This window comes from Homo sapiens, chromosome 3, assembly GCF_000001405.40.
Source record: "Homo sapiens chromosome 3, GRCh38.p14 Primary Assembly".
NCBI lineage: Eukaryota > Metazoa > Chordata > Mammalia > Primates > Hominidae > Homo > Homo sapiens.
Window position 1 is genome coordinate 15,965,602 of NC_000003.12, and position 16,484 is coordinate 15,982,085.

Sequence of the window (16,484 nt, forward strand, 5' to 3'; positions counted from 1 at the left end):
ACCTTCCAGGGTGTGGTCTTTTTGTTTGGTAATTTTAAACTACATTCTTGAAAAAGTTTCTCAAGATTCAAGCAATTCCTAGGACTGTATGTACACTTGGGGAACATTTCTTAAAATACATAACGAATTCAAATTAATAAGAAAAAGACAACCCAGAAGAAAAATGGACACGTGAATTAATCAGAAACTCAAGAGGTAATGGCCAATAATCCTATGAAAAGGTGAATGATGTGTATGGTGGTCTTCTGCAACTTGCCTTTCTGCCTTTCCTTCTTTCCTTCCTTCCTTCCTTCCTCTCTCTTTCTTTTTCTTTCTTTCTCTCTCTCTCTTTTTTTTTTTTGAGACAGAGTCTCACTGCTCTGTCGCCCAGGCTGGAGTGCAGTGGCACAATCTCGGCTCACTGCAACCTCCGCCTCCGGGGTTCAAGTGATTCTTGTGCCTCAGCCTCCTGAGTAGCTGGGACCACCAGCCTGCACCACCACGCCAGCTAATTTAAGGAGGTGAACCTGATTGCAGAGTGCGTAGCTCTGGAGGCTGGGGGCCCATTTTAGATGAAATGAAGTCGTTCATGTGCAACTGCAACAGTTTGACTGAAGGAGTGAAAGGAAGAGTGGAAATGATGAGTCAGAATGGCAGACTTTTGACAAAGTTTTGCCATGTTGGCCAGGCTTGTCTCAAAACCCCTGACCTCAAGTGATCCGCTCGCCTTGGCCTCCTGAAGTGCTGGGATTACAGTTGTGAGCCACCGTGCCTGACCCAAATGCCATTTTCTTTCTTTCTTTTTTCCTGAGACAGAGTCTCGCTCTGTCACCAGGCTGGAGTGCTGTGGCGCGATTTCGGCTCTCTGAAACCTCCACCTCCTGGGTTAGAGGAATTCTCCTGCCACAGCCTCCTGAATAGCTGGGACTACAGGTGTACACCACCACGCCCAGCTAATTTTTTGTATTTTTAGTAGAGACGGGGTTTTGCCATGTTGGTCAGGATGGTCTTGATCTCCTGACCTCGTGATCCACCCGCCTGGGCCTCCCAGAGTGCTGGGATTACAGATGTGAGCCACCGCACCCGGCCCCAACTGCCATTTTCAATATAACACTATGCCTCTGCGTTTGATCCATCCATGGTATCGTGTGTAGCAACATCATTTTCACTATGGTAATTATTCAGTGGAGGAACATTCCACAATTTTGTTCTCCCTACATGTAGCATGGTTCCATATTTAGAAAGCTCAAATACAGCTTAAAATTATAAAATGGATTGTGTATGGATATATACATACCTGACAAAACTGCTTAAAACAAGCAAAATCACAATAAAAACCATCTTCAAGATAATGTTTTCTTCATGGAGAGGGAGACTGACACTGAGGAGAGGATGGGAAATGTATCAGTTATCTATAGCTATGTAAAGACCCACCCTAAAATAGTGGCTTAAAACAACCAGTTATTGTTCATGATTCTCTGGGTCAAGACTTCAGGCAAGGCTTGGTGGGGATGGCTTGTCTCTGGCTCACTCATGTGTCTGCGTTCAGCTGGGCTGGTGGGTCCAAGATGGCCTCACCCTCAAGGCTGGGGCCTTGGTGCTGTGTGTCGGCTGGAGTTTCTCAGACTTCCTCCATGTGGCTTCTCTCTTCATGTAGAGTTTCATCTTTTGTTCCATGTTCTTTTCCCTCCAAGAGGTTAGCCTGGAGTTCTTTACAAGGAGAAATCATCCACTAATATTTGTATAACTAAAACTTGATGGCAATTAAAATATATTAACAAAGGTGTGCTCTGTGGTCCAATATTGTTGGGAAATGTTGCATATGGCTTCTCCTTGTGGAGCTTCCACTGCAAACAGAACAGAAAGCTTACTAAAGTCTCTGAGAGGTCTTGCATGGAGCAAAGAAAGACAAAAGGCGAGATGCTACGTCTTTTTTCCAGGGATATATAAAGGAAGGGCTGGGTTAGATAAAGCAAGAAGGCTTTGGCTTGCCTTATGAGAACATCATCATCATCTTAACTCTGCTATTCCTGTACCCATCAGAGTCCCAGTATAACTGCAGGTGGCTCCAATTGCCAAGGCGTCTGAACACTCCTAAAACCTGTAGGAAGTAGCCACTAGGCCAAAGGGTCAACAGTGCTTTTCCAGGAGTCAGGTCATTTATGTTTCTGCCTCTCTCCACCGTCCTGCCAGTGACCTTGTCTTGAATTAGTTCACCTACTTAACTCCTATCTCTTGTTTGCTTTAACCCCCATGAGCTGCTTTGATCAATTACCAGCACGTCCCTGATGCTTGATGACCATAAGTTCCTTGGATTCTTTCCTTTGAAAGTTAGTCCATGTTGGTTGTGACAAATTCAAATAATACCAAAAAGCAAAAGCCTTCCCTTATCTATTTCAATCCCCCAGTCCCACCATTAACAGTTGAGCAGTTCAGTTTCCTTCTAGATGATTTTCCATGTTTATGTAAACACATGTGCATATATATTTGAACAAAATGGGTATCAACATGTTCATATAGTTCTGTAATCTTTTTCATTAATATATCATGCATATTATTACATGTCAGTACATATAGATTGATCTCTTTTTAATAGTGTCAGTGGGTGGACTCACGTCTATAATCCCAACAGTTTTGGAGGCTGAGCGGGGAGGATTGCTTGAATCCAGCAGTAAGTACAAGACCAGCCTGGGAAACATAGTGAGACTCCTTTCTACGAAACCATAACTAAAAAATTAGCTGGGCATGGTGGCACACACCTGTAGTCCCAGTTACTCAGGAGGCTGAAGCAGGAGGATGGCTTGAGCCCAGGAGTTTGAAGCTGCAGTGAGCTGTGATTGTGCCACTGTACTCTAGCCTGAGCAACAGAATGAGTGTCAAAAAAAAAAAAAGTGTCATTACGCCGAAGTATGGGAGTTCCTTTGTTTATTCAGCTCTTTTCCTCCGGATCAATGTTCATGTTGCTCCTTATTATTATTATTATTTTTTTTTTGGCTATTGTAAACAATGTGGCTGTGACCGCCTCCCCACCCACTCCATGTACCTAAATCTTTGTACATTCATGCCAGCTAATGTTCTGAGGAATACGTTTCCAGACGGGCAGTGCTGGATCTTAAGGCATGCCTGGCCTCCTCTCTCTCATTATCCTTTTGACCCTGATATCCTAGAGACTTCTGTTGTTACCTGCCTGCCTGCCCAGATCAGTCTGTGGTTCACTTGTTCCAGGGCTCCCCAGAGAGTCAGTCGCTTATACATGCTCTCTGAAGCTTTGTCCAGGCAGCCTAGGTTGCTCACATCAGTTGACAGCTATGCTCAATTACAGCACTTGTCACATTGTGTTATAATTGTTTTTCTACTTGTCTAACTTCTCCACTAGATTGGAACTTTCCAAAGGCATCATCAGTGTCTGGCACAGGACTTAGCACTCAGACCAAATTCCTTAGCAAATTTTATTGAACTCACACTGTGTGCTAAACACTAGCACTGTGTACATAGAGCTATGGACAAAACCAAATTCCCTGCTTCAGTGGGCAGAGACACACAATCCACAAACAATCATAAATAATTTGTTAGATGGAAAGTGCTATATAAAGAAAAATAAGGCACAGTACAGCCTTAGAGAATGCTGCTGTTCACAGGTGGCGTATATTTGAGCATGGATCTAAATGAGGTGAAGGATTGAGATGGCTGCTTGGGGAAGAACTTTCCAGGCATGAATGAATGCCTGAATTGAGCATCTCCACTTCCTGATATGAGAGAAGAGACGTAACAAAGATTCCTCCAGAACCAAAAGGATCCGAGATAAGGCTAACTTGATTAACGTGCTTAATGTGAATGCCACACCTTGGGTTTCCCAGGAAGAAGACTCTCAGATGAAGACCAGTGTTTAGGAAGCTTATTAGGAATGCTTGCGGGATCAACACCTGCTGGGGAAGAAAGGCAGCAAGATTGGGCAGAGGACAGAGTTGGGCTATGGTGCAGTCTCAGTGGAGGTTTCCATCGGCCATCGGGAGTTCTGAAGCTGGGCTGGCCCTTCGGGGTGGTCCCAAGTTGGGGGCTGGATCTTTATGCCTCGCCTTAGTCCATCATTAGATGTTGGCCATCCCAGGAAGGAGTATGACCTTGGGTGAGGTGGCTCCCCTCTGCCACAGTAGTCCTTGGCAGCTGAGGGCTACTTAAATGATTTCAACTTCTTCCTTTTGTTCCCCCAGCACCAGGAGTGATGGTTCCTCAGCAGTGGAGGGAGGGAGTCCTTCCTTCCTGAAGGGGATCTGGGTGGGCCAGTTCACTGTTCATCACCGTGAGACAAGGTGGCACATGGTGATGGGGAGCACAACATGCTGGGGTGGGTGGGGGTGGGCAGTCAATAGATGCAGGTCTAAACCTTGCTGCATTGGAGAGAAGATAAGAGAAAAAGTTGCTGAGTTGGTTTCCTGGGCCTATGTGCTCTCAGAGTCCTTTCCTTTTCTTAGCTTGCCCAGTGGTGCTGACACCTGCAGGCTGCATCTCTCAAACTCCCCATCAGTTGGTTTCTGGCAGGTTTGACCAGGAGAAACCACTGATCAGACATAAGCAGGAGGAAACCAGAGAAACCAGAGTATTTCCATCCTTCCTCTTCGCCTTGGGCAGGAACTCCATTAGCAGCTTGTCTTCTCCCTTGTTCTAACTCTCCTATGCAGGCTCACTGTGGTTCCAGCTCCCATAAAGGAATCTCTCAGTCCCTGGCTCTGGCCACACCACTGTGGTAGATGTGAGGTACTCAGGTCCTCTTTAAGGAAGGACTTGCTGCCCAACGGCAGGTGCTGCAGCCAGCATCCAGCTGTCAGCCCCTACAGGGTCAGCCTTACTTGCAGAGAACCACCTTGCTCGAGGTCATGCCCTTCCTGAAGCAGCTGGCATCCGGTGAGTGGAAGAGGTGGGGTGTTGAATGCCCTGCCATTCTGGCTTGTTGGAGGACACAGGTGGGCTGAGGTTTCATTGGGTCTGCATAACTGTGTGGCTTCTGCCTCTGCCCATTCTGTTGCTTCTCCTTCCCCTTCCCAGATGTTGACCCCTCATGAACACCTTGCACTCCAGTATATTTCTAAGTGCTTCTGAGAGCCCGGCCTGCAACACCACTTCTCCCCTCTGCCTCCAGCCTAGAGATGGGAATGGCTTCCTGCTGGTGCTAATCTCTAGGTGGCCTCACCATGTCCCATTTGGACACTCTGCTCTTGCATCATCCATGTAATCAATTAACTGCATTAAATCCCCATCTCTTTAAATAAAGTAGGTTCTGACACAGCCAACATTATACTGAATGGGGAAAAGTTGAAAGCGTTCCTCCTGAGAACTGGAACAAGACAAGGATGTTCACTTTCACCACTTCTATTCAACATAGTACTGGAAGTCCTAGCCAGAGCAATCAGACAAGAGAAGGCAATAAAGGACATCCAAAAAAGTAAAGAGGAAGTCAAACTGTCACTGTTTGCTGATGATATGATTGTATACCTAGAAAACCCTAAGAACTTATCCAAAAAGCTCCTAGAACTGATTAATGAATTCAGTAAAGTTTCAGGATACAGAATTAATGTACACAAGTCAGTAGCACTGCTGTACACCAACAGTAACCAAGCTGAGAATCAAATCAAGAACTCAGCCTCTTTTACAATAGCTGCAAAAAATAAAATAAAATACTGAGGAATATACCTGTTACCAAGGAGGTGAAAGACCTCTACAATGAAAACTATAAAACACTGCTGAAAGAAATCATAGATGACACAAACAAATGGAAACACATCTCATGCTCATGGATGGGTAGAATCAATATCGTGAAAATGACCATACTGCGAAAAGCAATCTACAAATTCAGTGCAATTCCCATCACAGTATCACCAACATTCTTCACAAAGCTGGAAAAAGCAATCCTAAAATTCATATGGAATGAAAAAAGAGCCCGCATAGCCAAAGCAATACTAAGCAAAAAGAACAAATCTAGAGGCGTCACATTACCCAACTTCGAACTATACTATAAGGCCATAGTCACCAAAACAGCATGGTACTGGTATAAAATAGGTACATAAACCAATGGAACAGAATAGAGAACCCAGAAATAAAGCTGGATACTTATAGCTAACGAGTCTTCAACAAAGCAAACAAAATAAAGTGGGGAAAGGACACCCCATTCAACAAATGGTGCTGGGATAATTGTCAAGCCACATGTAGAAAAAATGAAACTGGATCCTCATCTCTCATTTTATACAAAAATCAACTCAAGATGGATCAAAGACTTAAGTCTAAGACCTGAAACCATAAAAATTCTAGAAGATAACATTGGAAAAACCCTTCTAGACATTGGCATAGGCAAAGACTTCACGACCAAGAACCCAAAAGAAAATGCAACAGAAACAAAGATAGATAGGTAGGACTTAATTAAACTAAATTACTTCTACACAGCAAAAGAAATTATCAGTATAGACCACCCACAGAATAGGAGAAAATCTTTGCAATCTATACATCTGACAAAGGATTAATATCCAGAATCTACAAGGAACTCAGATCAGCAAGAAAAAAACAAAGAATCCCATCAAAAAATGGGCTAAGGACATGAATAAACAATTCTCAAAAGATGTACAAAGGGCCAACAAACATATGAAAAAATATTCAACATCACTAATTATCAGGGAAATGCAAATCAAAACCACAATGAGATGCTACCTCACTCCTGCAAGAATGGCCATAATCAAAGATCAAAAATAATAGATGTTGGCATGGATGTGAAGAAAAGGGAACACTTTTACACTGCTGGTGGGAATGTAAACTAGTACAACCACCATGGAAAACAGTGTGGAGATTCCTTAAAGAACTAAAAATAGATGTACCATTTGATCCAGTGATCCCACTACTAAGTATCTACCCAGAGGAAAAGAAGTTATTATACTAAAAAGATACTTGCACATGGATGTTTATAGCAGCACAATTCGCAATTGCAAAAATATGGAACCAGCCCAAATGCCCATCAATCAATGAGTGGATAAAGAAAATGTGAGGGATAAAAGACTACACATTGGGTACAGTGTATACTGCTTGTGTGAAGGGTGCACCAAAATCCCAGAAGTCACCACTAAAGGACTTATTCATGTAACCAAACACCACCTGTTCCCCAAAAACCTATTGAAATGGAAAATAAATAAAGTAGGTTCTGTTTTCCTGGCTAGACACTGCCTGATATAGTGAGTTTTACATCTAAACTTCAGTTTATATTCTCATTTCCCTTGCTAATCTAGTATTTTATAAGGGGGCCCTCAACTCATAAATATATATTAATATATATATGTTTGTGTGTATATATTCCTCATCTGCAACCAAACGCAGATCGAAAATACAGTATTCCTGGAATGTGACACCCACGTGTATCAAGGGCCGACTTTTCATATATGCATGTTCCTCAGGGCCAACTGCAGGACTTAAGTATGTGGAAATCTGGATATGTGAGGGGGTCCTGGAACCAATACCTTGTGGATACCAAGAGATGACTGTATATATTTGCTCCAGCAGTGGAGATGCAGCATACATAAGTGTTTTGCCATGACTATGCCCAATGTCATACTTGGGGTCAGGTTGAAGCCCATGCTGAGGTCCAAGGGGAGTGGGTGGATGGGCACATAGCGGTAAGAACACTTGGAGGGCCGTAAGCAGGTGAAAAGTAGGTTTATTCAGCAGCTCTCCCATCAGCAGCTCTCTCACCCTGTCTGCCTTTATCTTGGTTGTGTGCTGTGACTCTGTGGCTCCTTTCAGCAGTTGGCTCTGCACCTCTGGCTGCTTCCACACACAGGTGTATGGCCAGCTTTCCCTTCCTTCAGGGTCAGCAGCTTAACTCTTTCCCTCTGGGCACAAACTGGTTTCTGGCTCCCCTCTGCCCGCTTTCAAGGCGACTGGCTCTCCCTTACAGGGATCAGAAGCGTTACTCTCCGGGCACAGTATGCACACTGTGTTGAGCCATGTTTAGCCATGCCCCAGAGTGCCTGTACGGTGTCAGCAGGGCAGTTATACCTTTTCCAAACAATAGTGGCTTTGAGCCAAATATGAGCTTACACAAACAGGTTATATAACAAATAAGAGTATGTACCTGCACCCTAAACTCGCCGAGTCATGCAGGCCTGGATGTCTGCCTCGGCCTAATTCTTGACCAAAGCACATGGATGTACCTTACAGTAAGTAAGCCCAGCAAGCAGCAGATGATCCATAACCCATATGATCCTCAGGTGGGTCCTTAGCCAGCACTGCTCCTCACCGCCACTTGCTCTCAGCTATCCCTGTGACCCCAGCTAAAATTGGACATGTTTGGCACCAGCAATCCCCAAGCTGGCCTCTGGCTGTTTTGCACTGACCTTCCTCCTTCTCCTCTTCCTCCATTATCTTTGTGTCTGGCTCTGGCATCACTTCCCTGGATTTCTCCTGAGGGCAGAGCTCGGAGTAGGCTGAGGCAAGACAGGAGCCAAGGGCACACAAGTTAAGGACACATTCACTTCTTAGGTTGTGCAAGTGCAGGCTGGGCAGTTCTTCTCTTTGGAGGGTTAAGATGGGAAGCTGTTACACAGGAGGCTGAGTCAGGAGGATTGCTTGAGCCCAGGAGTTTGAGGTTGCAGTGAACTATGATTGCACCACTGCACTCCAGAGTGAAACCCTGTATCTGTCTCAAAAAAAAAAAAAAAAAAAAAAAGGAAGCTGGGACTGAGCTTGAGGCTGCCTGGCCAGAAGCAGAGGTAGAGGGTAACCCTTGTATGTCAGGGTACAATCAGGAGACACATCACACCATGTTTTTTTTGTTGTTGTTGTTTGTTTTGTTTTGTATTTTTAACAGGATTTAATAGAATTAATTGTTAATTAGGTAACCGAAAAGGCAAACTTGATAGAACTCTAGAACTCGAAGGTATCATGGAAGTAGCAACTGCAAGAAGTAGCCACCACTCCGTGGGCTAGGGGAGCAAAAGGAGGAGGTGGGAAATATTCAAACGTAGAGGGTCCTGAGACCCAAACCTCTTGAGGAGCAGGTGCTACTCTTCTGGTGCCAGTGTCAAGGAGCACCATGAGGCTGGTTCTACAAGTGCTGAAATTGCAAGCTAGACTCAACAGCTGCTACAGGAGCTGCTGCAGCTGGGGTCAATGTTGCTGGGGTAAAGCTCATAGAAATGGGAAGAAATGGAGACAGACAAGAAGGAGGAAGTCCCTGCTTCCCCCCTCCAGCCCCGCGGTCTCCCTCTAACGCCCCCTATCGGCATAGCCTACCAAGGAGTCACAGAGAAAGCAGGAATTTGGTTTGCAGAGTCCCAGCCCCAGTGGGACAAAGCTGAGCACAGAAGGATAGGTTTGGAGCCCGCCCTACACTGAAGTGGAGGGGATTGGACAGAGGCACGAATACAAGGATTTGGGGCAGATTGGGAGCCATTTTAGAGGCTGCCTGCTACAGTTGCCTTTCTCACTATGACCCTGGCGATAGTTGCATTGATTTTTTTAAGAGTAGTAGATAGCCATTCTGCACGAATGACAAACTATGAAGACTCAATTCATGCTGAGTCTCCTGTTCTAACCAAATTACACTTTATAACAAAGTTAATTTAAGGCACATATAATGATACACATAAGTATTATGGCACCATATGGTAATTAGGCATCCGTGTGGTGGAAAGCTCACAGAAATGACTGTAATTAGTATTACTTCTATGCAGCCAAACCCATTTAACTTTTTATAGTCCCATTTGTTTGGGTCGCCAGTACGTATCAACAGCCTCCACGCTGATAGTTTTCTCCAGTACCACCTACCATTTAATTATCACCCCACATGCAAACTCTGACACTCACATAAACTAAATTACAAAGATCCAAACTAGTATCATGCAATCGTTGGGTGCTCTGCCTCTGCATCCTTCTTTCCAGTGTTTTCCATTTCTCCCTATTCCCCAAATGAAAACTGAGCAGGAGGAGGCTTGAGGTAGTAACAATTGGATCAGGAGGCTGTGACCTGAATTTCTTAAGAAAGATGCTGATATATTAAAAGACCTAGTGAGAACAGCTTAAACTATTCTCATTTCAGAATGGTGTACTTGAATTATTAAAGCAGGCAGCCCATAGATCTCCCCTCACAAGTTGCAGATTGCTTGGGGGTAATTTTAGTAGGGAATAAAGTCTTTCAACTTTCAACAACAACAAAAAAGTTGGCTGGGCGCAGTGGCTCACGCCTGTAATTCCAGTACTGTGTGAGGCTGAGGTGGGTGGATCACGATGTCAGGAGATCGAGACCATCCTGGCCAACATGGTGAAACCCCATCTCTACTAAAAATACAAAAATTAGCTTGGGTGTGGTGGCGCATGTCTGTAACCCCAGCTACTCGGGAGCCTGAGTCACGAGAATTGCTTGAATCCAGGAGGCGGAGGTTGCAGTGAGCCGAGATCACACCACTGCACTCCAGCCCAGCGACAGAGCGAGAGTCCGTCTCAAAAAAAAAAAAAGTAAATATGCAAATCGAGGCAAGAGAACATATTAGTATTTAATGAGCTCCAATTCTTTGGAAACTGTTGTTAGATCCTTTCTTGTATTGATGAGGAAGAATGAGGGCCAGAAGAGGGGGAAAGGGGAAAGGAAATCACCAGGGGCAGGGATGGGATGGGACATATTGGGGAACTGTGAACTAGAGACCTACAAGGTAGGGTTGCCAGATAAAATACAGGATATCCAGTTAAATTTGAATGACCAGATTTAGCAAATAAAAAATATGGGACTCAGTTAAATTTGAATTTTAGATACACAGTGAAAAATATTTTAGCATAAATATATCCCATACAATACTTGGGACATACTTATTCTAAACATTATTGTTGTGTATCTGCAATGCAAATTAATCGAGAGTCCAGTATTTTTATGTGCTAAAGCTGGCAACATTACTACAAGGTTAACTTCTCACTTTCATCCTGGAACTTGTTTTGTCATTATCTTTGAGGGTCATGGTGCTATGGGGCCAAAGGGACTTCATGCCCTTTTGGATAGCCATGGGTCTGACATTCATCCTGCCCTCCCCTGCTGCTCTCTGCCTCCTGCCTCTGGTCCCTCAGGCCTCAAAGCCCCTATGCCAGCAGACACAGGGCAGCATGTTGAGGGAGAAGATTCTGCACACTCATTTGAGGCCCGCCTGACCCTGTCTCCCTCACATGTTCAATAGCACTCGGCCCCACCCTCACCTTCTGGAATGTTGTGCCTCCAAGTCTCTAAGCACCACAATGTGTGTGTAAATCTAGCAAAATAGACAGATTTTGAGACTAAATGGGGACTCTGGGTATGGATTTACACATGGGCAAAATTTTTCTTGCTGAGCAGTTTGTGTTAAATGGGATTTAGTTTGCTCCTTGATGATCAGTCTGGGAGGGTAGTTGGAAATCTACCCCTGTACAGGCTTCTTCTGAAGTTGCTCTTTCAGATTTTACAGCATCATGGATCCTTTTTTAGTGGCCAAGTTTTGGAGCTAGCAAAGCAGATAAAGCTACACGGAATATTCACATTTTCATTGTGGAAGGAGAAAACAAAATCTGTGTCTCCAAGATTTCTAAAAAAACAGAAAAAAAAATGGGTTCCATTCAATGCTAATCTCTTCTTCTTCTTTTCTCTTTATCCTTCTATCTAATTGCAGTATGGGTGAAACTATTGCCCACTACTGGGAGAAGGCTATTTTCTTTGCCAGTTGTCCAAACAATGGAAATTTCCTGCATTCTTTGCTGTAGTTTCTCAAAGTTAATGGGCATATGCTGACTTTTAAAAAACTAGCTGTTACTAGGAGTGAAAAGAGTTACAAGAGAAAAAATTGCTTACCTTCAGACTCTCCAGTGTTGGCAAAAAATTCTTTCTAAAGAAATGAATACCAATGACAAAAATGTCCATGCTGTTCTTCATAAATTTGGACCCTGGTTCTCATACTGTGACTTACCAGATCCCAGATGTAATGCCAGGACAGGGAGGATAAAAGGAGAAAGGCAGGATCTAATTATTAGAGGTTCAATGTTGTACCAAATGGTTCCTGCTACAAGGCTAACCTCATCCTCCATTCTTCCTCCTTTTCCCTCTGCTCTGACAACCTGAGCTGTTCATTGCCCTCTGAGTACTGCAGCTGTTTCTCCCCTCTGTGCTCATACCTTTGCTGCCCTCCCGCCTTTTTTTTTTTTTTTTTTCTTGAGACGGATTCTCACTCTGTTGCCCAGACTGGAGTGCAGTGGCAAGTGCTGGGATTACAGGTGTGAGCCAGAGCACCTGGCCCCTTGCTGCCCCATCTGTCCAGCTATTCCCATTTCATTTAGCTGACTACTTCCTATCCTTTAACGTTCAACATGGGAAATGTCTCGTCCAGGCAATGCTCCATCCTGGCCCTTCCAAGTTGAGTAATGTGTCCTTCCAATGTGTCCTCCATAGAGGTTGCTATGTGTTCCCATAGCAACCTCTGCCAAGCTCCATCATTGTGTGAACCACAGTATAAGTACTTGTTGGTTTGGTCTCCGTCTCCTCTGCCTGGTTCACATCAGGCAGGTGGGTGCTCAGTGGATAGCTGAGGTACAATGACTTTGAAATCCTCGATAATATATTCTAACATGCTGGCTGGAGGACCTCAACTTAATTAAGCCCATCTGAGGCTTGTGACAATAGTAACATGGGCCTGTGCACTATTTTCAAGATTTTCAAATGCCCACTGGATATCACACATTTACCTGGGGTAAGAAACTTTCTTGTCAAAAATACCCTCTTGCATTATTTCTGAGTGGGGTTACATTAACCCTCTCTGATGACCCCATTTTTTTTTTCATGAAGAACAGTAGATGTAATTGGCCGCTAGTATATACTTGTCCTTTAAAAAAAAAGTCCAAATGATCACTTAAATGCAATTTTGGGGGGAATGGGGAACAGTAAGTAAAATCACCACTAGGTTGCACATAAATAAATGTTTTCTTTGGTGGTGAAAAGGTGAGATGCCAACTTTGTGTCATTATTCATTACTTACTCAAATTTACTGAACACCTGTTACATACCAGGCATGGCTTTAGGAGCTCCAGAAATGTATGTGCTCCACATATGTTATTGCATAGTGAGTAATCCTCTGCCCACCATTCTTCTTGTGTAAGGTCGGCGCAGTTCCTGCCAGTGTGGATCACAGGGCCCCAGCTGGGGAGAACAGAGAGAGGCAACTGATTTCCTTGCAGAGTCTGGCATTGAGAGAGGGTTCAGGGCCTCAGGGACTGGGTGAGTGAGCATCATGCCTCAGCCACCCCTTTCAAGGCTTCATGTTTGGGCTGCTTATTTTCTGTGCTTATGGGAATCTGAGAACAGACTTGGTTGAATTCATTCTTACCACTCAGCTGCACAGTAATTTCTGGGCAAAAGGAAGCTTCTAATTAAGAGTTCAAATCCCCCAGAAGCCATATGCCAAGCCACATATGTGACAAAATCCCTGGCTGCCTTCTCTGGTATAGGGACGATAACAGCTAACTGGCGTGCTGCTCTGGGCCAGCTGGGCCTTTAACAAAACAACAATCACAACAACTACAAAAATCTGCTGCAGCTGCTGGTTTAAGGGATGGGTTATTCAAGGGCCCATCTCCCACCAGCTGCTTTGCATCTTCTCTTTTGTTAGGACCTGAGATATTTAAGGTCATTGAAGATTCTGGGCCTACTTTATATCAAATATCTAAAATTCTGCTCACATTCCACATTAGGTATGGTATATTTTGCTCTTGCTCTAAAACATTTGAAAGAGTTTTGTTTCAGTTAGCTAATGCTGTGTAACAAATGACTTCAAAACATAGTGGCTTAAAGCAACAATGTATTCTATTTCATGGTGTGGTCTTCTTCAGCTTCAAGTGGTATTAGCTGGGAACAGTGGGTGACTGCAGTCATCCCAAGTTTTGATCAACAGCTCAGCTGAGGTTGAAATGTCTGAAATACCAGGGCTTTAGGAGTCAGATGGAGCTTGACTGGGATTTCAGCTGCGGGCCTTGATTCTTCTCCATATGGGCCTCCCCATGTGGCTGCCTGGGCCACCTCACAGCATGGTGGCTGATGTCCAACAAGAACTGTTCCAAGAGCAAGCATTCTAAGAGGGAGGAAGCAGAAGCTGCCAGGTCAATTAAGGACTAGTCCTGGAATTGGCATAGTACCACTTCCTCTATATTAGTCAAGGGAGTGGCAAGCCCAGCCCACAGTCAATGTGGGAGGGAACTATACAAGGACATGAATACTGGGGAACGTGTTCATCTGGATCATCAAAATAACAGTCTATGGCAAGTTTTTATTATTTTGGTACTTAAAAAAACCCCCAGAATTACCATATGCCCCAGCAGTTCCACTTCTGGGTGCATACCCAAAAAAACTGAAAGCAGGGACGTGAACAGATATTTGTATACCCATGTTCATAGCAGCATTTTCACAATAGCCAAAAGGTGGAAACAACCCAAATGTCCATTGCCGGATGAATGGATAAAGAAAATGTGGTATTGTCTTAGCCCATTCAGGCTGCTGTAACAGAATACCATAGACTGGGTGGTTTATAAACAACAGACATTTGTTTCCCACAGTCTAGAGGCTGGGAAGTCCAATATCAAGGCACCAGCAGATTCAGTGACTGGTGAGATCCCTCTTTATAGAGAGCCATCTTTTCTCAGTGTCCTCACATGGTCGAAGGGGTAAGCAATCTCTCTGGTGTCTCTTATATTAATATGAGGGTCCTAATCCCATTCATGGCCCTTACGATCCAATAACTGCCCAAAGGCCCCACCTTCTAATACCATCACCTTAGGGGTGAGGATTTCAACATAGGGATTTAGGGATTTGTGAGGGAGGCAAGCATTCAGACCATAGCAGGCACATACATACAATGGAATATTGGTCAGCCTTTAAAAGGAATCCAGTTTGGACACATGCTACAACATGAGTGACCCTTGAAGATATTATGTTAAGTAAAATAAGCCAGGCACAAAAGGACAAATATTGCATGATTCTACTTATATGAGGCACCTAGAGGAGTCAAATTCATAGAGACAGAGAGTGGAATAGTGGTTGTTGCTAGGGGCTGGGGAGAGAAGGAAATAGGGAATTATTGTTTAATGGGCACAGAGTTTCATTTTGAAGAGATGGAAAAGTTCTGGAGATGAATAGTGATGATGGTTGCACAACAGTGTGAATGTGTTTAATGCCACTGAACTATATGCTCAAAATTGGGTAAAATGGTAAATTTTATGCATATTTTTATCACCATAAAATTTTTATTTTGAATTTTATAAAAATAAAATGTTCATTTTATTTTATTTATTTTGAGATGGAGTCTCTCTCTGTCACCCAGGCTGGAGTGCAGTGGTGCAATCTTGGCTCACTGCAACCTCTGCCTCCTGGGTTCATGCCATTCTCCTGTCTCAGCCTCCTGAGTAGCTGGGACTACAGATGCCTGCCACCATGCCCGGCTAATTTTTGTATTTTTAGTAGAGACAGGGTTTTGCCACATTGGCCAGGCTAGTCTCGAACTCCTGACTTCAAATGATCCACCCGTCTCGGCCTCCCAAAGTGCTGGGATTACAGGCGTGAGCCACTGAGCCTGGCCATTCATTTTATTTTCTTGTTGTTTTTTTAAAAATTATATTTATAACTATGGAAGAGTTCAGTTGAGCTGCAATTAACTATTTCTTTGCTATTCAAAGTCAAGGGACTAGAAGCATTGGCATTACCTGGGAGCTTGTTAGAAATGTAGACTCTCAGGCCTCACCCCAGATCTACTAAATCATAATCTGTAGTCGGACAAGATCCCCAGGTGTTTCGTATGCTTATTAATGTTTAAGAAATGCTGAATTACTTGATATAATCCTTGTTTTGTAAACATTTATTGATTTTAATTATGTAATTTTCTGTTTTGCATTTTGGAGTCATCATACATTTTTCAAGGCCTCAGAAAATTGTATAGGATTTTGAGACGCTCTCAGGCCCTAGACCCCATGTCTAGAATGCCCTGGAGATGAATCTGGTAAATTTTACACATAGTCACATCCCTTTTGTCTCTGATTTCTGACTTTCTCTTCCATAGTTACAGTTCTTCAGATCATCTATCTGGTTTTTACATGAGTTCTTCTCTGAGATGCTGCTAAGATGGCTCTCTAGGCTTTCAGAACCACAGCCCATGGAAAAGGGAGCCCCACCCTCAATGCAGACCCAGGTTTCTCTCTAGGATACCACATCCCAGGCCCATATAACCTTATTGCTGCAATTACTAAATTATTAAAATCAACCGTAAAGCTTCCTACTGAAGAAAACTTCCTAGTTCATTTTTTTCTTTAACTATTTACTGAAGCATAATATACATGCAGAAAAGTGCAAAAATAAGCTTACAACCAATACATTTTAATACATTAGCACTCTGTTATAACCAACCTTCAAATCAAGGAATAGAATATTAACAGTACCCAGGAAACCCTCTGTGTCACTACTACCCCATCTCCTGCAAATTAAC

At 43.6% G+C, this 16,484-nt stretch overlaps 1 long non-coding RNA gene across 4 annotated transcripts in view, besides 1 other annotated feature; it reads left to right on the plus strand.

Moving 5' to 3' along the window:
• Positions 1 to 7,174, plus strand: part of LOC107986064 (uncharacterized) — a 112,662-nt gene extending 105,488 nt beyond the window's left edge. For all 4 annotated transcript variants that reach the window (XR_007095831.1, XR_007095833.1, XR_007095832.1 and 1 more), the window contains 3 exons: positions 10 to 195; positions 3,618 to 4,881; positions 5,023 to 7,174. This is a non-coding gene — a long non-coding RNA (uncharacterized LOC107986064). The remainder of the gene's footprint in view (positions 1 to 9; positions 196 to 3,617; positions 4,882 to 5,022) is intronic.
• Positions 4,108 to 4,277: an enhancer, noted in NCBI's record as "experimental_65770 CRE fragment used in MPRA reporter constructs". NCBI's record gives its function as "activates a minimal promoter by MPRAs in K562 erythroleukemia cells, with activity observed for both the introgressed and non-introgressed 3:16011301 variant alleles {active_cell/tissue: K562}" and the evidence as "EXISTENCE:reporter gene assay evidence [ECO:0000049][PMID:34662402]".
• Positions 7,175 to 16,484: the final 9,310 nt, after the last annotated feature.